The sequence below is a fragment of the Homo sapiens genome, chromosome 21, assembly GCF_000001405.40.
Source record: "Homo sapiens chromosome 21, GRCh38.p14 Primary Assembly".
NCBI lineage: Eukaryota > Metazoa > Chordata > Mammalia > Primates > Hominidae > Homo > Homo sapiens.
The window spans coordinates 18,489,911-18,513,481 of record NC_000021.9 but is presented as its reverse complement, the minus strand read 5'-3'; positions in this window follow the sequence as shown (position 1 = coordinate 18,513,481).

The following is a 23,571-nucleotide window of genomic DNA, read 5'->3' as shown; positions in this document are numbered from 1 at the left end:
ATGATAATAAAAGAGGGAAAGTATTACCTTCATCATCAGTAGTACTAGTTTGACGTATTAGCATTGTATGAGAGACCAGCAGACTACAGGATTGAGTAAATTTAGCCACCTGACTTTAGGCAGGGGTGGGTATCCCTGGCAGGCAACTTGGTACTGCAGAAAAGTCAAGAATGTAAGTTTCTTTCTATAAAGGAGATGTACTTTAAGTCAAGCATGCCCAGTTGTTTTGTTTTTATTGTTGTTAATTTACCTACTTGAAAAAAAAAGCACTCCATTTCTTAAAGGCAAAATGAAACTAAAAGCATTATATCTTTGGACTTCCCTCCACCGGAATGGAAACATCAAGAGTGGGGACAAAGCATCCCTTTAACAGGTTACATCCTAGGCTATGTGACTCTCCCCAAGTAGACTAAAACTTCCTAAGGTCGGGGCCCATATCCACCTCATTCACTAACTCAGACACAATTATAGCAAAGTGTTGCCAGAGAATAGGTGTCCCATACTCATTTTCAGCAAATTCTAAGTTAATTTTCATCCAAATAATAGTTCCTACTCTTATTAATGAATGCTGAAAGAACAGTAGTCTTTGTTTTTGTTTTTTTTTTGTTGTTGTTGTTGTTGTTGTTGTTGTTGTTTGAGACGGAGTCTCACTCTGTCACTCAGGCTGGAGTGGAGTGGCACGATCTCAGCTCACTACAACCTCTGCCCTCCGGGTTCAAGTGATTCTCCCACCTCAGCCTCCCAAGTAGCTGGGATTATAGGTGTGCACCACCACGCCCAGCTACTTTTTGTATTTTTTATTAGAGAGAGGGTTTCAACATGTTGGCCAGGCTGTTGTTGAACTCCTGACCTCAAGTGATCTGCCTGCCTCACCCTCCCAAAGTGTTGGGATTACAGGTGTGAGCCACTGTGCCCAGCCAACAGTAGTCATTTTTAACTCTTCAAGTAGCTGACAGTGGACACTCTTAATTCCTGAGACTATTCTGTGGTGATACACAAGTTGGTTGGAGGTGTAAATGGGTTGTTGTTTTGATACTGTCTCTGAAGAAGTTGCAAGGTAGAAAGTTCGTGGTTCCTACTCTTATTAATGAAGTTCGTGGGCAGCAGGAGTGATTGAGGGAGGAGTCAAGTAAGTAACTGGAGGAGGAGAAATGCTTGGGAAATATCTTCAAGAGATGTTTCTTATTCTAAACCAGCAAGGTCAGCCATGACATGTAAGTACTTTTTGATGTCTAGCAATTCAACTCAAGAACAATGTTTCTTTTTCCAGACCAAGTTTCTACTTTGCAGCAAAGCCTGACTTCACTCTTAAATGCTGAAAGTATTAAATAGCTTTTGTTTCTCTCTTTTATATTTATAGCTAAAGTTTACATAGTCTATTTTATCAATGATGTCTAATAAGACAGTGAATGAATACTCTTTCAGGATAAGTACTAACTCCTGTTGACTACCAACTGAATTCAGTTGATTGCTAAACCTCTTGTAAAATATACAATTTGGATTTGATGTTTGGTAATTAGTTCATTTACATTTGTGTCTTTGAATAATGAAGTTTGGTTTCATTGTAGAAGTGACTACATTTCAGTGATAAGCAAAAATCCTTCAACAAGGAATATAAACATTTGCATTCATTTAGACATTAATTTGGGAATATCGGTAGGGAAAAATACATAGCTTTTAAAAAAATATTTTGCTACTTGTTTATCTGACATCTAGACTTGATTATACTCATGGGTTTTTTTCTATTTTCTTGAGATTATACTGTCAAGTTAATTACTATAATTCAATTTATTCAGATTTCTGTAGCTGATTATAATTTTTCAAGTTAGTATATAAGTCACTGTTGCTTTTGTTCAGGTTGATTTTATTCAACCTGTTTTGGGGTTGCCTTATCATTCTATATCTGATTTTTGCTTATTCTACTATTGAATCATTTTATTGTTTTCAAATATTTTATTATTGTTTTAATTATATTTAATCTAATATTAGAAAATGTATTTCCTAACTGAAACGTGGATTACATAAGTTTTCTTTCCCCATACCATTTACTTAGGGGGTTAAAATATGAGAGGTATGGCTTAGAGGAATATTAAAAATGAATGGAACATTAACCTAATTTTAAAATCTCTGGAGGTAGTAAAATGAGTACCAAGATACATTTACTCTTTAATGGCAGAAGCAAGACTAAAAACCAGACATTTTCAGTTCTAGTTTAGAACTATTTCAAATACACTGCTCCATAGGACATAAATTATATCATAACAGAATAAAATTTTATTAGCATCATGCTAACACAATGTGTATCAGGAGTGAGCCTAAAGAATCTGATTCCAAAATGATCTCCTTTGACTCCATATCTCACCTACAGGGCACGCTGATGCAAGAGACGGCCCCTAAGGCCTTAGGAAGCTCTGCCAGTGTGGCTTTCCAGGGTACAGACCCTCCAGGCTGCTTTCACAGGCTGGTGTTGAGTGTCAGTGGCTTTTCTAAGCACACGGTGCAAGCTGTTGGTTAATAGACCATTCTGGGGTCTGGAGGACGACCCTCTTCTCACAGCTCCACTAGGTAGTGCCCCAGTAGGGAGTTAGTACTTATCCTGAAAGAGTATTCATTCATTGTCTTACTAGACATCATTGATAAAATAGACTGTGTAAACTTTAGTTATAAATATAAAAAAGAGAAACAAAAGCTATGTATGGGGGCTTTGACCCCACATTTCCCTTCCACACTGCCCTAGGAGAGGTTCTCCATGAGGGCTCCACTGCCACAGCAAACTTCTGCCTGGACATCCAGGCATTTCCATACATCCTTTGAAATCTAGGCAGAGGTTCCCAAACCTCAATTCTTGACTTCTGTGCACCCATAGGCCCAATACCACGTGTAAGCTGCCAAGGCTTGGGCCTTGCACCCTCTGAAGCAAAGACCTGAGCTCTACATTGGTCCCTTTTAGCCATGGCTGGAGTAGCTGGGACACAGAGCACTAAGTCTCAAGTCTGCACACAGCAGAGAGGCCATGGACATAGCCTAGGAAACCATTTTTTCCTTCTAGACCTCCAGGCCTGTAATGGGAGGGGCTGCTGTAAAGACCTCTGACATGCAGTAGAGACATTTTCCCCATTGTCTTGGAAAATTAACATTTGGCTCCTCATTACTTATGCAAATGTCTGCAGCTGGCTTGAATTTCACCTCAGAAATTGGGGTTTTCTTTTCCATCGCATCATCAGGCTGCAAATTTTCTGAACTTTTTTGCTGTGCTTCCCTTTTAAACATAAGTTCCAATTCCAAACCATATCTTTATGAATGAATAAAACTTAATGCTTTTAAGACCACTGAAGTCCCCCTTTGAACACCTTGCTGCTTAGAAATGTATTCTGCTAGGTACCCTAAATCATCTCTCAAGTTCAAAGTTCCACAAATCTCTAGTGCAGGGTCAAAACACTGCCAGTCTCTTTGTTAAAACATAGCAAGAATCACCTTTGCTCCAGTTCCCAATAAGTTTCTAATCTCCATCAGAGACCTCTTCAGCCTAGACTTCATTACCCATTTCACTGTCAACATATTGATCAAAACCATTCAATAGTCCCTAGGAAGTTCCAAACTTTCCCACATCTTCCTATCTTCCACTGAGCCCTCCAAACTGTTCCAAACTCTGCCTGTTACCCAGTTTCAGAGTCGCTTCCACATTTTCAGGTACCATTATAGCAGCACCCCATTCCCTGTGGTACCAGTTCACTCCTATTACTCCATTCTCACACTGCTATGAAGAAACACCTGTGACCGGGTAATTTATAAAGAAAAGAGTTTTAATTGACTCACAGTTTCCCATGGCTGGGAAGGCCTCAGGAAACATACAGTCATGGCAGGAGGCACTTCTTCACAGAGTGGCAGGAGAGAGAATGAGTGCAAGCAGGGAAATGCCAGACACTTATAAAACCAGCAGATCTTGTGAGACTCACTCATTATCATGAGAACAGCATAGGAGAAACTGCCCCCATGATCCGATTACCTCCTCCTGGTTCTGCCCTTGACATGTGGGGATTATGACAGTTCAAGGCGAGTTTTGCGTGGGGACACAGAGCCAAACCACATCACACCTTTGCTTAATCTAATACTTCTCATTGGTTATGCCTTCAGAGCACAATTCCAGAGTTATAGTTGTCCTTCTCAGGACATATAATAGCAATTAATAAGTGTCTGCAATTACACGTTTATTCCTGAGATCATTGGATTGTCTTTTTCTCAGCTAGATCATGAGTGTTATAAACAAAAGGAAGATTTTTTTCTTATCATTTTATCTTTTCCCATTGAATCCCCAAAATCTAATAGTGTATCTGGTACATAGTAGGCATTTAACAAATGCTTAATGAATTTATTCAGTGAAAAATAAAATGTATTGCTAAATTATTAATTGCTGCTAATGTTACACAGCTGTGAAAATAGTGTTTTAGATCCTTTAAAACATCAAATTAGATTTTTTTCTAGTTTTTCTATACTTTTCTACAAGTTTTGTTTTGTCTGAAAGCTTTATACAAAATGAGGCCAAGGTAGTTGCTTCAAATCATTTTGGAAATTGGGCAGGATATAAATTAAACAAATAATAAATCAATAAAGTACTCATGCATTTGGTGAATTCCTACATGTACAAGGTAGAGAGGGAAATTTTATCTGTCTTATTGTAGATACTCTGGAAATAATGAAGTTTATATTTATAAAGTTTTTTAAAAACTGAACCACTGTTGATTTGTATTGAGCTAAGAGTCAAAAAACATGTAAAGCTTTCTTACTCCTTTGATTTTTGCACTTGAGTGCATGCAGGTTTTCATTTATCGTTATTAAATTCTGCCTTACTAAATTCACCTTATTATAGATCCAACCTGTCAAAATATTTTTTAGAACTTGATGATGAATGAAAGATCTAGAGTCCGGAGCACCATGGTGTCCTGAAAGAAGCTCATTTGGTGTTAACTTTAGGGCTTTGTCTGTCAGCGTGAACAGGCATTCTAAATTAAGCTGCAAATATGGCCATGATCCCTCTCATACTACTTAATGTATTTCTTTCATATCACTTATCAAGTTTTTTTTTGTGTGTATGTAATACACATCCTACCTATCCCCTTTTCATGTCCTCCACTGTTAGAGTAAAAATATGTGTCTTACTCATACTTGCATGCCTGGAACTGTTTATTTTAAAGGTGACTTATACATTATTGATCCAAAAAATTTATTCATTTAATGACTTAAAAAGTAAGCTCTTACTCTGACTTAGAAATTATGGCATGTGCTTGATATATAAATGTGAATAAGTTACAGAATTGGAGATCAGAAACTCATAGTTCTAGGGAGGTGGGAAGCACATGAAGCATTTTAAACCATACAACAGTGCAATTATAGCAATGAGCAAAAAATTTGAGTCAAATGTTAAATTAAATGGAAATAATCCCATCTGCCCATTTTCTCAATTATATTGAGTCCTGAATTCCTGGAATAGCAAAGGTTGGCACAAGGTACAGAAGCAACCTATCAATCACTTTTCCACTTCATACCTAGCTCCTGATAAATATCTCCCCATTCAAAGAGAGATTTCCAATGTATCATATTACATTATATTAATCATATTTTATTATATAATCATATTTATTATATTAATTGTATTATAGTAATCATATAGCATATTAATTATATTATATATCATTAGTATTTGGGGATACAATGAACCAGGACAAGAGATAAGAGTATAGAAGGAAAGAGATTCAAAATAGGTCTAGGTGGTTTGCTAAGAATGACAGTGAGAAAGGAGGAGGAATTAAGGATAATTCCCATGTGTCTGGTTTCATTGACCAATGGTAATTCCAAGCACAGCTTACAACCCAGTGTGGCAATTAGTTAAAATGAAGCATACATTAGAAAACCCTAAACTCTCAAGATGGTAACTGGGGTGAATGAACCCCTCAATAGGTCACCACTGGTCTTGAAATGCCTGCTACATTTCTTCTGATCTGCCTTGCATTTTCACTTTCTATGAATGGTGTGGCATGGAAAAAGTTTAAGAAGAAACTTCATGGAAAATTTAGACACAATAAATAAAACAATTACCACTTTCCCAAATATCATGCCACAATCAATCTTTCCAAAAAGAAAAATCAACAGCATCTCTACATACCAATGGCAAATTACCTAAAAATGGAATCAAGAAAGCAATCCCACTTATAATAGCTACCAAAACCCCTCAAAAGAAAAAACTAGGAATACATTTAACCAAGGAGGTGACATGTCTCTCCAATGAAAACTATAAAATATGGAGGCAAGAAATTGAAGACCACACAAGAATGGTACAATATCTCATTTTCATGTATTGAAAGAATTAATATTGTTAAAATGTCCATACTATCCAAAGTTATCTATAGATTTAATACAATTCATATCAAAATGCCAGTGACATACATTCTTCATAGGAATTATTTTCAATTCATAATATTTGTATAGAACCACAAAATACCCAAATAGTCAAAGCAATATTGAGCAAAAACAAACCAAAAAAAAAAAAAACAAAGCTGGAGGCATCACACTACCTGACTTCAAAAAAAAAAAAAATACTGCAAAACTATAATAACCAAAACAAAATGGTACTGGCATAAAAACAGGCATATGGACCAATGAAACAGAATAGAGATCCCAGAAATAAATCCACACATCTACAGCCAATTGATTTTTTATCAAAGGTGCCAAGTACATACAATGGGGACAGGAGAGCTTCCTCAATAAATGGTGCTGTGAAAACTGGATATCCATAGGCAAAAGAATGAAATTAGTTGTTTATCTCTCACCATATATAAAAATTAACTCAAAATACATTAAAGAGCTAAATAAAACACCTAAAAGCAAAAAAAGAAAAAAAAAAACGAAAAATCTTAATGACATTAGTCTAGGACAGGACTTTTTGGAGAAAACCTCAAAAGCACGAGCAACTAAAGCAAATATAGACAAATGAGATTACATCAACTTATAAAGTGTTTGCACAACAAAGGAAACAATCAACAGAACAAAGAGACAACCTACAGAATGGAAGAAAACATTTGCAAAACATACATCTAGTAAGGGGTTAATATCCAAAATATATAAGGAATTTAAACAACTCAACAACAAATAAACAAATAACTTGATTAAGAAATAATCAAGAGACCTGAACAGACATTTCTTGAAAGAAGACATACAAATGGCCAACAGGTATATGAAAAAAACATACTCAACATCACTAATCATCTGAAAAATTTAAGTGAAAACTATAATGAGATATCACCTCACTCAAGTTAGAATGGCTACCATTAAAACATTAAAAGATAAGTATGGATGAAGTTGCTAAGAAAAGACAACTTTTACACACTGCTGGTGGGAGTGGAAATTAGTACAGCCATTATGGAAAACAGATTAAATTTCCCTCAAGAAATTAAAAATAAAACTACCATGTAATCCAGCAATCCCACTACTGGGTATATATCCAAATGAAATGAAATGAGTATGTCAAAAAGATATCTGCACTCCTATGTTTATTTCAGCACTGTTCGTAATAGCCAAGATATGGAATCAACCAATATGTCCCTCAACTGAAAAATGAATAAGGAAAATGTGGTATGTATACACAATAGAATACTATTCAGCCATAGAAAAAAAAAATGAAATTCTGTCATTTGTGGTAAACATGGATTAACTGGAAGGACACTATATTAAGTGAAATAACACAGGCACAGAAAGACAAATATCATATGATCTCACTCATATGAGGCATCTGAAATGTAGTTCTCATGTAAGTAAAGACTAGAACAGTAGTTACCAGAGGGCTAGAGAGAGATTGGTCAATGGATACCAAATTACAGTTGCATAGGAGGAGGAAGCTCTGGTGCTCCATTGTATAGTAAGATGGTTAGTGCTAACAACAGTGTATTGCCTATTTCAAAATAATGAGAATAGACATTTTGAATGTTCTCATCACAAAGAAATGATAAATGTTTAAGATGATAGAAATGCTAATTACCCTGTTTTATGAGTACACAAAGTATAAATGTACCAAAACATCATGCTGTGCCCCATAAATATGTATAATTATTACATGTCAATCATTGTTTTTTAAAAAAGAAACATTGGTGGTACTTCCTGCGTTATTGAACTCATACTAGTAAAAATACATGTCTGTGGTAGATCAAAATTAAGATTTTTAAAACCGTAATTATGTATAAAATGGCTCTGTCTTAAAAGAGTTGCGTTGTTTTAACTACCAGAAGAAATCCATGATAATATTCTACTACTTGAACCTTAAACATTATAAAATAGAATTTAATTATATTTAGACCTAGATAACAGTCAATACCTTATAAGATGAGGCATCAGTTTTTCTTCCTGAAAATTCAGTGAAGTAGTAGTAAATATATCTTAAATCTTGTAAGCATCCAATATAAAATGGCTAATATATGTATTATAACCTTAAACAAAATAAGTCCACAACCAAGCTGCTTCTCTGCTTCACTGTTTCCTATGCTTTTAATATCATCATTGAAAACCTTGGATTGAAATCCTTGGCACCATGGTTAGTAGCTGTTCTTTTTTTTTCTTGCAGTAAAATGAAATTTTATTCTCAGTACCTTTAATTAGTCAAAATTCTGGAAATAGTTTTTGTTTGTAGTATGACGAAACTATAAAAGATATAAATTTGTTTACTAATCCATGTTTCCATCTAAATCATATATATATATATATATATATATATATATATATATATATATATAAAATATGTATATTTTATTATACTTTAAGTTCTGGGATACATGTGCAGAACTTGCAGGTTTGTTACATAGGTATACGCATGCCATGGTGGTTTGCTGCACCCATCAACCCATCATCTACATTAGATATTTCTCCTAATGCTATCCCTCACCTAGCCACCCACCCTCTGACAGGCCCCAGTGTGTGATGTTCCCCTCCCTGCGTGCATGTGTTCTCATTGTTCAACTCCCACTTATGAGTGAGAACATGTGGTGTTTGGTTTTTCTGTTCCTGTGATAGTTTGCTGAGAATGATGGTTTCCAGCTTCATCCATGTCCCTGCAAAGGACATAAATTCACCTTTTTCATGGCTGCATAGTATTCCATGGTGTATATGTGCTACATTTTCTTTATCCAGTCTATCATTGATGGACATTTGGGTTGGTTCCAAGTCTTTGCTATTGTGAATAGAGCTGCAGTGAACATATGTGTGCATGTGTCTTTATAGTAGAATGATTCATAATCTTTTGGGTATATATGCAGTAATGGGATTGCTGGGTCAAATGGTATTTCTGGTTCTAGATCCTTGAGGAATCACCACACTGTCTTCCACAATGGTTGAACTGACTTACAATCCCACCAACAGTGTAAAAGCATTCCTATTTCTCCACATCCTCTCCAGCATCTGTTGTTTTCTGACTTTTTAAAGACTGCCATTCTAACTGGCATGAGATGGTATCTCATTGTGGTTTTAATTTGCATTTCTCTAACGACTAGTGATGATATGCTTTTTTTCATGTTTGTTGGCCACATAAATGTCTTCTTTTGAGAAGTGTCTGTTCATATCCTTTGCCCACTTTTTGATGGGGTTGTTTTTTTCTTGTAAATATATTTAAGTTCCTTGTAGATTCTAGATATTAGCCCTTAGTCAGATGGATAGATTGCAAAAATTTTCTCCCATTCTGCAGGTTGCCTGTTCACTCTGATGACAGTTTCTTTTGCTGTGCAGAAGCTCTTTAGTTTAAACAGATCCCATTTGTCCATTTTGGCTTTTGTTTCCATTGTTTTTGGTGTTTCAGTCATGAAGTGTTTGCCCATGCCTATGTCCTGAATGGTATTGCCTAGGTTTTCTTCTAGAGTTTTTATGGTTTTAGGCCTTACGTTTAACTCTTTAATTCATCATGAGTTAATTTTTGTATAAGGTGTAAGGAAGGGGTCCAGTTTCACTTTGGCTAGCCAGTTTCAGCATATGGCTAGCCAGTTTTCCCAACACTATTTATTAAATAGGAAATCCTTTCCCCATTGCCTGTTTTTGTCAGGTTTGTCAAAGATCAGATGGTTATAGAGGTGGGGCATTATTTCTGAAGCCTCTGTTCTGTTCCATTGGTCTATATATCTGTTTTGGTACCAGTACCATGCTGTTTTGGTTACTGTAGCCTTGTAGCATAGTTTGAAGTCCAGTAGCTGATGTCTCTAGCTTTGTTCCTTTTGCTTAGGATTTTCTTGGCTATGCTGCCTCTCCTTTGGTTCCATATGAAATTTAAAGTAGTTTTTTCTAATTCTGTGAAGAAAATCAATGATCGCTTGATAGGGATAGCATTAAATCTATAAATCACTTCGGGCAGTATGACCATTTTCACGATATTGATTCTTCTTATCCATGAGCGTGGAATGTTTTTCCGTTTGTTTGTGTCCTCTTTTATTTCCTTGAGCGGTGGTTTGTAGTTCTCCATGAAGAGGTCCTTCACATCCCTTTAAGTTGTATTCCTAGGTATTTTATTCTTTTTGTAGCAATTGTGAATGGGAGTTCACTCATGATTTGGCTCTCTGTCTATTATTGGTGTATAGGAATGCTTGTGGTTTTTGCACATTGATTTTGTATCCTGAGACATTGCTGAAGTTGCTTATCAGCTTAAGGAGATTTGGGGCTGAGATGATGGGATTTTCTAAATACACAATCATGTCATCTGCAAAGAGGGACAATTTGACTTCATCTCTTCCTATTTGAATACCCTTTATTCCTTTCTCTTGCCTGATTTCCCTGGGCGGAACTTCCAATACTATGTTGAATAGGAGTGGTGAGAGGGGGCATCCTTGTCTTGTGCCGGTTTTCAAAGGGAATGCTTCCAGCTTTTGCCCATTCAGTATGATATTGGCTGTGGGTTTGTCGTAAATAGCTCTTATTATTTTGAGATATGTTCCATCAATACCTAGTTTAATGAGAGTTTTTTGCATGATGGAGTGTTGAATTTTATTCAAGGCCCTTTCTGCATCTATTGAGATAATCATGTGGGTTTTGACACTGGTTCTGTTTATATGATGAAAACTATCTTGGTTTTTTCTTAATTGGCTTGTTCCACATGTAATTTCACAATAGATTTCAGATAGCTGAGAACATCCCCGTCTAAGCCTTAGTATAACACTTCTCTTCAGGGCTATCAAATTATATTATCACAGCTTTCCATGGCTGTCCCTTCAGCCCTACGTCCTCCATCCCTCTATCTCCTCTGACATTTTGTCTTTCAATTATTCTCTTTATTTTGGATATTTCATTTCTCTTCTTTCTTTTTCTTGTTTGGTTAAAAGCATTCCATGCTGTATCCTAAATACTATCATCCTGTGTTTTCTAAATATTATAACACAAGATTTAACCCTAACAGTGAACACTTTAATCCTAATTTCCTATTTGATTTCATTTTACTGCCTCGATTCTCAAGCAGTTGTTTGCCTGTTTCTCCACTGCAAACCCACCAACACTTGACTTATTTCCCCAAAACTTTGATAAAATGACAATTTCCAATATGGCCTTGACCTGTTCTTAATTCATTCCATGATATCTTTCCTACCCCCTTGTCCTGTTTTTGGAATTTTACTTCAGGGAATCCCTTATTCTTTGGCTCTGGTGAATTCATATTTCATCTCCCATACACATCTAAGATAATTATTTTAAATATTTCAGTGGTGACTATTCTTTCTCTAACATAAAATGTGGATTAACTCACATTTTTGGCCCTTAATCCCTTATTTCCCATTTTCTCTTCGCTCAGAAATTAATCTCCTCCTTCTGGTTAAATTAACATTTTTAAATATAAGTTTTTAAATCTATACTGACAATCTAACTTTTTTCTGCTTTGCATCTCTAAGGAGAATCATTATATTTAAACAAATGAAAGACATCTTAAAATATCTAAAACTGAACTGAATTTTTTGTGTCTTTTTGGTGCAAATCTGCTTTCTCTTCATGTTCTCTAGGCTTAAATTCTCATGACCATTTCTTATCTTCCCCCCTTTTCTGTGATTAAAATCCATCCTGTTTCATATTTCTAAATGATGTCTATTTTAGTCCTTCCCTTTCCACATCTGTCACCATTATCCTAATGAAGGCTCATACCTCTCAAGTTCGTTCTGTGGAACAGATTCTTCACAGGTCGTCTCTCACTAAAGTTTCTGCTTGTCTTGCAAATAGGTTAATCACCCTAAACGCTGCTCATTGATCATGTCACACAGCTGATATAAATAGTTTTCATCACACCAAGGCAACCAAGACTGGAGTTCAAAATCACACACAAGCTGTTTCTGATATATCTTTCTAGATTCCTCCAATTATTTCTCCTTACCCCTTCTCCAGCCAGATTTAAATATGAACTGCCACCATATGTGTCTGGAACATCAGGATCTCCGAGCCTTTTCTCATGCTATAATGCCCTCACCACCTATCTGAATTTTGCTAAAATGTAAAGATCACATTACAGTTCCATCTTCTGCATAGAACACTTTTAGTTTACTGCAACTCACAGTGATCTCCTAAATTCTGTATAACAGCATATTTTTCACATAAAACGATGCTATGTGTGTTGTTTTGGCATATGCATCATATTCACTTAATTCTATTTTTCTTGTTTTACATCAAAGGATATGGCTTACATTTCTGTTAGTTATTTGATTTTCAGTTCATAGTAAGTACAGCAAGGATTTTTTTAATGATAACTATTGACAAAACATAATAATTAGTTACTATTAACAAACATAATAATTACTATTAACAAAACATAATAATTAAGGTTTATTTTCTCTCTCCAAAATGTGTATGTTATATGTGTATATTATACATTATTTAATGGTGAATAATTCCATTGTAGAGAAATAATATTTTGTCCCCATTTTTGCCCCTATGTGTGCACATACACAAATACGTATTACACCCTAGCTGCTCTGTGATTTAGGTAAGCTATGACATTCTGCACCTCAATTTCTTCCTTTTTAAATTGGTGATTATACTACTTGTCTCCCTTCTCGCTGTGGATGTGTATGCATGAATTTATACTGTGTTATGAATATAAATTGCATATGTGTAAATACATCACAGCACTTCAAAGAGATGTTAATCTATGTACCCAGCTTATTATTCACATTATTATTTTATATTAAGAGGTGCAGAATCCTTCTTTACAATGAATATATGAGATAATTTATCTGAGTAAAGTAACTGAAATGCCATAAATATATTTTCCTTTATGTGTATTTTTTGTCCCGCATGTACATATCAAAGACTAGTCAAATTGGGTTGATGGGAATGGCAGTTTCAGTGCTCAGTTCGTAAACTGTCTGATAAATAATATTAACTTTAATGAATTTATTATTTTTGGAGCATTTCATATGCATATCCAAATTTGCCACGTCGACCCCCTAGCCATTAAATCTTCAGTATTTGTTATTGCTAAAACTTGGTTTGTAAAGAGCAGTAGTGCCCTCTGGTGGCAACTTTTTCTCAGCTGCTGTATACATTTTAATTAGTTTCACAATTTTGACTGTTGTTCTGAAATATTTTCTAGTGAAATTGATCACAAATTATAATGAGATACAATTCTTTTCCCCACATCATCTATTCTCAGGAAAATATATCAACACATATAGAAGCATTAATTTAATTATTTTTAGGGATTTAACAATCAGTATTTTCATGTAGGAGTTAAGTCTCAAGAATATTCCTGACAGCTTTCCACCCAAAGCAATTTCATTTCCCTGCCAAATATGATTAGAAAAACAATATACATATCAATATATGAGACGATTTGTTAAAAATAATCATTTTTATTTATTTTATTTATTAAACGGCTTAATATAAAATGACTAAGGAGTCTATGGGCAATAAGAACAGCCTGGTAATAAATCCCAATATTTACCACCTATTACTTAGTTTCTAATACATAAAGATGTTCAAATAATAATTATGTACTAGGGGCTTATTTATATATGTAGGAAAATGAGCCAAGTCTATTTGCAGTTTAATTCAGTTAAGTAAATGTTTATCAAATATCAATTAGTGCTGGGTAGTGAAGATACAGTAAGAACTATGCTACACGCAAAAATCATTTCTCTAGCAATTGTTTTATTAAAATCATATCCCATAAGTTTGTAATATTCTTGGATATTAATAATCTTTCCACATAACAAAGAAGATACCTAGAGTATAGGTAAGTTAAAATGTGAGTAAGTGCATTTTGAATATCAGGAGTACAGCCCTGCTAAGCATTCAGCGCTTAAATCTTAGAATGCCTGTCAACATCTGTGATGTTCTAAACCACATAGTGTTTATGAAGACATAAATACATACACTTCAATTGAAAATACAAAACATAATTTAGTAAGAATTAAGATTTTTAGAACTTCCAGGGCATGCCTATAATTTTGAGATCATATTATACAAATTTATGTTGTTTTTATTAACTCCTCAGTTATAATGAGTTGTCAACATGTACTTTATTCTTCTAGACCATTTTCATGAACTCCTCAGTTATAGTAAGAGTTGGTAAGATGTATTTTGTTACTCCAGACCCATTTTGCTAACACATTCAGGCTGCAGAGTTGGCTAAAGTGGTCTCCATGAAATGATTTTCAATGTTCAGTTTTGCTAAGTGTCTTCCATTGGCCACCTCAGACTCTCTCTCCATCCTTCTCAGCCTTGCTCTGGGCACTGGAAGCCTGCTGTGTATGTCTTATCGAGGTGGTGTTTCTTGCCCTGAGATGAATTAAGGAAGAGAAGAATTGACTCTCTAGCTTGCCTTCCTCTGTGGCTTTGCTGTTATCTCTCCATCAAAGCTGGCAGCTCCTAGAAGGCAACCCTCTCCACAAAGCCTTCTGTGTCTTTGGGTTCAAATAATTTCATCCTGTTCTCACCCTTTGGGGCCTTGCTAAGAGCAATGTTATGAACTAAATTGTAACTCCTCTAAATTCATATGTTAAAGCTCTATTCCCCCAGTGCATTAGAATGTGGCTGTATATGGAGATAGGGCCCTCAAAGAGGTAATTACGTGAAAAGGAGGCTCTTATTATGGGCCCTAATCCAGTCTGACTGGTGTCTCTATACAATGGCAAAAAACGCAATTACTTTTGCACCCACCTAACAAGAAGAGAAGATTAGGACATGTATGAGAGACCACGTATGCAGTGCAAAGAGAATAGGCTATATGAGGTCACAGTGAGCAGGTGGCCATCTGCAACCCAGGAGGAGGCCTTGGGAGACACCAACCCTGCCAGCACCTTGGTCTTGGACTTCCAGCTTCCAGAACTGTGAGAAAATAAATTCCTGTTGTTTAAGCTACATAGCCTGTGATGTTTGGTTATGACAGCCCTAGCAAGCACCCTTACCACACTACCACTTTCGCTGTCCTGTATCCTGACCTCACATTTGTAAAGAGTCACTTTGTTACCTTCTCTTGAATTTCTCAGTTTGAATGTGCTATATAGTTCCTAAATGGATTCAGCTTTCCATGTATGTATTAGTCCTGGTTTTATAAAGTTTATGACAATGATAGTGTATTAGTTTACTGGGGCTGCCATAACAAACTGATAGCTTAAAACAACCTAAATGTCTCTTCTCATAGATTCGGTGACCAGAGCTCCTAAACCCAGATGTCAAGAGGCCCCTTACTCCCCCTGAGGGCTCTAGGAAAGAATCCTTCCTTGCCTCTTGCAAATTCTGATGGCTCCAGATGTTCCTGGGGCTGCATTACCCAAGTTTCTGCTTCCATTGTCAGACGTCCTTTCTCATGTATCTTCTCCCCTTCTCTTCTTTTCTAAGGATATTTTACATTGGATTGAGGGCTCACTCTAATTAATCAGGATTTTCTCTTTCAATATATTTATTTAATCACATCTGCAAAGATCCTTATTCTAAAAAAAAGTCACATTTGCATGTTCCACGTGAAAATATCTCTTGGAGGACTACCACTCAACCCACTACCGATAGAAAAATAATCTTCAAAGGGATTTAATATCATCTTGCCTGATGATGTCTTCTATTCAACGTAGAATCTCTCTCTCTCTCCCTCTCTCTCTCTCTCTCTCCATCGATAGTAAAAGTATCATAATTAGAATGTATAGGGTCCTATTTAATACAGAAGTAGAGTTTGGTAGTATGATTCTACATGACTTGCCTTCCCAACTGAACATAAGGCACGTGAGTGCTTGGGGCATATAAAAATGTGAACTACATTAATTAGAATACATAAAATATGTATTTACTATATGTGGACAGCCACATACGTAGACAACCATGGACGTCCATAATTTATTGACAAAGGTATAAAAAACAGTGTTTTTTTCTTTTTTATATTATTTAGTAAGTGAAATTGGCAATAGTAAGAGGATAGAACATTTTAACAAGTATATAGGAAACCATAGTTACTGAAGAAGAACAATTGGTGACTGATTCAGAGTATTTTTTATACTTACATGCAAGGCATTTATTTATCCAAAAAAAAAAACAAAGAGAAATGATTCTTAAGAATCAATATTATGAATCATGAAGTAACGAAAGTTAAAATTAGAAGGTTATTTAATGTAATCCTTTATTTTACATATGAGAAATCCAAGTGTATATGTATCAAGCCCTTTAATCCAGGCTTAGGTTTCCTATTGAAATTCCACACCACCTATGAACTCTTTCATGTTAACGGTATTATTTATTTATTTCTTCTTCTTCTTTTGTCAGTTGGGAAGGAGAACATTTGCAGCTACTCTTTTGTATAAAAATTTACAATGTCTAAAGGGACAGATATAAACACACAAGCCACAAATTGATCTCTAAAACCGTAGCTGGTCAATTATGGCCAGAGAAATATAAACCTAGGTACTTTTCATGTATTTTTCTTTTGAAAAAATCATTTCTCCCTGAAGACTTACAGTCTAAAGAAGTTCTCCCAAGTTTTTGAATAACATAAGGTTGTAAAGACACTCTTTTAAAACCTGATAATAGCACTTAATGAAGCCATTGTATACCAGTGAGCAGTTAATAAAAGTTCTGGAGCCACAATGTCCACAACAAAATAACTGGATAACTTTGTTGTTTTATTTGTATTACTTTATCTACATTATTATGCCCAACTTAAACTACCCTTATTTCTCTAAATAGGGGGTGAAGAGCAGGTTTGTCATTCTCTAACCTCTGAAACATTTAATTTACATGAGATGTGAGGACGCTTTACCTTTTGGTCAGACATAACCGTTTACATTACAATTATTTTGAAGACAGTGGACTTGACAGCATGTGAGGAATGTTTAGTATTGCTTCATGACTTTCTGGCTATGCATAATTATAACATAAATCCTGCAATTAAACTCTCCTTTATGAATTTTAAGACCTCTTTGGAAGATAGTAAACTTTATAGTTGTCCTTTCAAAAAGTAACAGATTTAAGATACTTTTAAAAAAAATTTTTTATATGTCCCCTTAATTTGTCCTTCCTCCCCGGAAGAATGAGACTCCAACACTAAACCAGTATGAAGTCTGATGCCTCAAGAAATGACCAGGCAGACAGAAAAACAAGTGAAAAAATAATCAAAGCATTTTCTCTTAGGAGGCAGTTAATATTTGGCTTATATTTGATTCATACACAGATTCAGACATTTCTATTACATTCATATTCATCAAAATGCCTGCTGAAAGCTGACACAAATATTGAACACTCCTTGAGTATTTCAGCAGGAGGCTGAAATCCATGTCTGACACTGTAGTGCAGTGATTTTTTATGTTGTGACTTGTGGCTCTCTAGGAAGATGCCAGACACCATATGGTGGTAGAGTCATTAAATTCTTCCCAACTGGACATGTAAGTTAACTTCATGCCCAATTCTTTATTTACAAAGAAATATGCCTGTTAAAGGAATTATGAATAATGACTTGACGACTCTAGGACCTTTATATACAGTTATCTTTGTAATAACAGTAATCGATACGATGTTTAGTATCAAAACCAAGGATATGTAGATAGCCATGGAAGTCACCCACATAACGTCAAGCCAAGGCTGTGAAAAACAATATGCCTTTGTTTTTTGTTATTTAGTAAGCGAAATTGGCCATGACAAGAGCATGGAACATTTATTTCTATTTGGAGAAATGAAAATAAGGTGATTTTAATATCTAAAGATTCCACATAAAATCTAAATACATTCTGGCTTCTCTTCATTGTGCTATGAAACAAATACAAATTACAGGTAGGAAAATTGTAGTTTTACATATTTGTGAAACTCAGATTATAAATACGTTCACAAAATGCCACTACAGTCTGCAAGGACTCTGCAACAGGACTTCTGCTTTTCCACCAATAATATCTGCCACTGACTGTATGTGTTTCATTGTCTTCCAACTCTCCAATCCAAATTAAGATTTTTTTTCTCCCATGCAGCACTTTGTACATGTCACTGGTAAAGAATATATACCTGGAAATAATTTGTGTTTGTATATTTCCAAGTGTCAATTAAATTCATCTTTGCACCCCTGTCCTATGCGTAACACACTATAAGCTCTCAGTATATTTTACCGAATTGCTGGTAAATCTAACCATGATGAACCTTATCATTTTCTTTTACCTGAAGACTGCCCATAAGCAGTGCTGAGATCTTGGGCAACTAACTCATTCTTTTTAGACCAAACTCCTGATCAGCAAAATTATGATGATGATGAATGATTGATTGATTGATTTTGCAGACATAGTCTTACTATGTTGCCCAGGCTGGTCTCAAACTCCTGGTCTCAAGCAATCCTCCTGCCTTGGCCTTCCAAAATGCTGGGATTAACCACACCCAACCAGCAAAATTAAATGTTTGAACCAAAACTATAATTATATGGTTCCAAGTTTAGAAAGTTTAGAACACCAAACGAATATGTAAAGAATAATCTTTTTTTTTTGTTTTGTTTTTTGAGACGGAGTCTCACTCTGTCTCCCAGGTTGGAGCGCAGTGGCGCAATCTCGGCTCACTGCAAGCTCCGCCTCCAGGGTTCACGCCATTCTGCCTCAGCCTCCCGAGTAGTTGGGACTACAGGCGCCCACCACCAAGCCCCGATAATTTTTGTATTTTTAGTAGAGACGGGGTTTCACTGTGTTAGCCAGGATGGTCTCGATCTCCTGACCTCATGATCCACCCGCTTCTGCCTCCCAAAGTGCTGGGATTACAGGCGTGAGCCACCGCGCCCGGCCAGGAATAATCTTAATTTCAAGCTAAATAGAATCATGGTCTTTGGAAAAAGTATTCAAGATTAAGAAAGACATAGTTTGTCTTCAAAACACCAAAGAAAATCTATATCTTTAACATGGGCACATAAAATCAAAGGCCTAGTGATTATTCTTTTTTTTTTTTTTACATTTTTTTTTATACTTTAAGTACTAGGGTACATGTCCACAACGTGCAGGTTTGTTACATATGTATACATGTGCCATGTTGGTGTGCTGCACCCATTAACTCGTCATTTACATTACGTATATCTCCTAATGCTAGTGATTATTCTAACTAGCAGCTACATATGCACTAGTTAGCACCACAGTGAAGGGCTAATTGGTTTGGGAAAGAAAGAATTACTCCGAACTGCCAAATGCATATGATATATACTGATTGGTGAAACAAACCTAGTGCATGATTTTGTCCCACTGTTTAGCTGTAGTTATTAGTGGCTGCCTACCTCTCCGCCTCCAGCAACATCATTGTCTCTAGAGCTCCTGAACCCATTTAGTTTCCATTCGCTGCTTGCCTTACTGCCTGCAGCTGTATTAACACATCCCAGAAGAATTCGTTCCCATCAATTACAGCAGAAGTTGTAGTCACTGTTCTGTGACACATCAGCACGACCGTGAGCAAACCGGGAAAAAAACAAAAAAAGTCAGCTCATGAGTCATTGCAATTAAGATACTGAGATATAGGAAGAGAAGAAAAATAAAAGGTGCTTCTACTTTGCAAGATGAATTATTTGATACCTAAGATGTTGCTAGACGCAGAGTATAATAACGCTCCTGGAATGATAAATGTACTTAGGGTTAGTTAAACTTTCGGAATGAGACTAAATGGTAAGAATAAAAGGAGGTACAACATTACAGAACCAGACTAATTATTTCAAATCCTTAATTGTGACTCCCTTGGGCTTTAGTCTTAGAAGGTCAGTTTTCCTCCTAGGAATCTCTTGTTAAATGTTTATTCGTGCTACTAGAAATTATGTGAAATGAAAAATGCCAGGCACAGATAAACATTGTGGTGTTACTAAGATTTGAATAATGGTGCTAGAAATGAAAGATAATATTTTCTAAATTTTTTATTATTATAATTACTTATGACTTACATGGTCTTACAAAATGTTAAAGGCAAATGAATCCCTGAAGATCACACAACTACATCATTTCATTCATGAGAGCACTGAAATGCCTTACCTCTAGACTCAAAGTACATTAGCGTAAAAGTGAGAATAGAAAGCTATGCAAATGTTTATTGTTCTTTCTTTCGAATTTTTGTATGATAATTTTGAAAATAAACATTTCAAGGGGAAAAAGGTTGCTGAGGTTGGGCTCTGCCTCTGTGTGTCGTGCCCACATTATATTCTAATAACCTGACTTTGCAAGAAATCACATGAGATACTTAGTTGATAATGGGACAAAGTATTTTATACTTGGACCATGTTGAAAATCTAGGACATGCAGCTAACTACAGGGGGAAATGTTAATAGGAAGATGGTATGAGCTATATTGATTTTATAGCCAGCTTAAGAGGAAGAGGCCCACAGCCAGTGGATGTCTCAAATAGATGGGCCTTCAGGTCCACATCTTGATCTTCAGGCTTTTACAGCTCACTAAAATCCTGCATTTTCTTATCTATGGATCAAGTAATAACCTATATTTCTTTGGATATTATTTCTGCTGTCCAGATCAGTGCCCAAATTTTATCCCATAGAACACTAACTCCAAAGGCTGAGAACAGTGAAAACAAGGGTTCTTAGTTAAACACTGAAAAATAAATCCTTTTGGAATACATAGTTCCTATTGCATACTGAAGATTCTGGAAGGTCCTGAGACTCCAATTTAACTGTATTTAACTCAGCATTCCCAAACTCTTTTCAGCATACCTGTCAATCTCCTACAGAGGGCTCTTCCATGGAACATCAGCTGAGGATAGATTACTTCATTTTAGCATTTCTAAGATAAATTTTTTTTTAACCTTTCAATGTAAGATCTGTAAAATTAGAGCACATCCTACAATCTGGGTATGGTGCCTGTCAATCACAGTCACTCAGGTGGTAAGCATGCTATTGCTGTGGACCTGTGAACCCATTCAAAGCTGTTCATTGTCATTTTAACTGAGTTATGTGTATTATTGGTATGACACAAGTTAAATTTAATTGCTATTGAATATAGCCTCAGGAAGACTTAAGTGCGTTTCAGAAATGAAACAATAAGTTTATGTGCATTCAAAAAGTCATAGAAGGAGAGCAGCAATGTGTAGGTGATATTAGTGGAAAAAAAACACTGCTGGAGGAATTCATATTCAGGTGATAAATATGAAGAGTTTTAGGAATAAGTGAATCTATTTTTAAATTAATCTTAAAATTTCTATTAACAAATATAAAACTAAAATTCTGAGTATAAAAACAGGAAAGCTAACATTTTACCTCCCATTTCAGAGGCTCCTTCCTTTGCATGTTGGTATAGATGGTGATAGTCTCACTCTCAGAGACTTTATACTCTAAGTTCATAGTTGATATACCTGAGACAATTATGATAAAAATACCAAGTTACATATTTTCAATGGCTACCTTATGTAATACACTAAATAAGTGCGAGGGCAGAAAGATCTGTAGGACAGAGTGAGATACAAGAGATGTGGAACAGTCAGCAAAGGTGTCAGTGAATGTCATTAATTTAGGTCAGTTTTCATGTCACTTTCTCAGGGAACCTTCCATCACTCAATGTAAAGTAGACTCCAGGTCACTTTCTATCCCAAACTCGGTTTTAAATTCTTAAATAGCACAGAAGCACTATTTTATACTTTCTTGCTAAGGCATTTAGAATGCAAGCTCCATGAAAGAATAGACTTTGCGTGGTTTGTTTAAAACTCTCTCTCCAGCACCTAGCACTTAGTAGGTCTCTGGCTCTTAGTAGGTGCTTAAAAATAATTTATAGAATGAGTAAATGACTCTGAATCTAAGAAAAAGAGTGACTGCAATAGAAATAAAAATAAAGAAATTAGTGAATAAGACATTTTAAAATATTTGTTTATAGGGCTTGGTAAAGGGATCTGGAAACAGCAAAAGCCAGATGAAAGAAATATAAATTACTTATAAGGTTTGGTAAAGGGATCTGAAAAATGCAGAAGTGAGATGAAAGAAAGACCCAGAGTTCCAAACATAGGTGGTTTAGAAAATGTTGTGAATACTTGCAGGGAGCGGGGTGGTGGAGAAGGACATCAGAGCAGTGAGCCTCTCTGGATAGGTAAGTAATGAATTAGCTCAATGTTATATTTTCCAAACGTGTGGTGAATGGGAAATAGTCATGATAGATCAAGTATGTAATTAGATATGGAGCTGAATTTCAGGTGATAACAGATCTTTTGATTAATTAGGATACGTTATTTTATGCTAGCCATTGGCTAGGTCTTGTACATAGATACAGTGACTAAGAGACAGGCCCTGATTTTGAGAAATTCATCAAAGTAGAGATAGACAAGCATATACATGAGATGAGTAAGATTGATTTATACTGATTCAACAAAACACTGACGGTGAATTGTCAGATAGAAATAAGAGGCCTCCTGGAAGACAACATACCCTGAGTATGTCAAATACTGAGTATTTCAAAGACGACGTACCCTGAGTATACAAAGACAGAAAGCTTGGCCTTTGGTAGAGGGCTATCATTTAGACGTGTCTTTCCTGGATTTATCACAGGAGAAGAAGATGGGAAAGCAGCAAGTAAAAACTGAAAGGAGTCACTAAAAGTGCTGTAAGACATCAAAGCCTAGTGTACCACACAGAGGACAGAAGGATATGTGTATCCACTTTTTTTCTTACAGGGCTAGGCATCAGTGGAAGCTTATGAAGGATATGGCAATGGCCAGGAAACACTTCACTATGGCACAGAAGTAAGAACAGACACAGCTAACTTTGCAATCACTCCCTCTTGTAATTCCATCTTAGCCATCCTTTGAGTCAACTAGAGTAGGAGTCCCTAACCCTGGCCATGGGTCAGTATTTGTGCATGCCTGTTAGGAACTGGGCTGCAGAGCAGGAGGTGAGCAGCAGGCAAGAGAGCATTCCCACCTAAGCTCTGCCTCCTGTCAGAGCAGTGGCAGCATTAGATTCTCATAGGAGAATGAACTCTATTGTGAACTGTGCAAGCAAGGGATCTAGGTTGTGCATCCCTCTGAGAATTTAACTAATGCCTAATGATCTGAGGTGGAACTATTGCATCCCCAAATCATCCCCCACCTCTACCCACTTCACAGAAAAAATGTCTTCCACGAAACCTGTCCCTGGTGCCAAAAATGTCGACCACTACCTTAAAG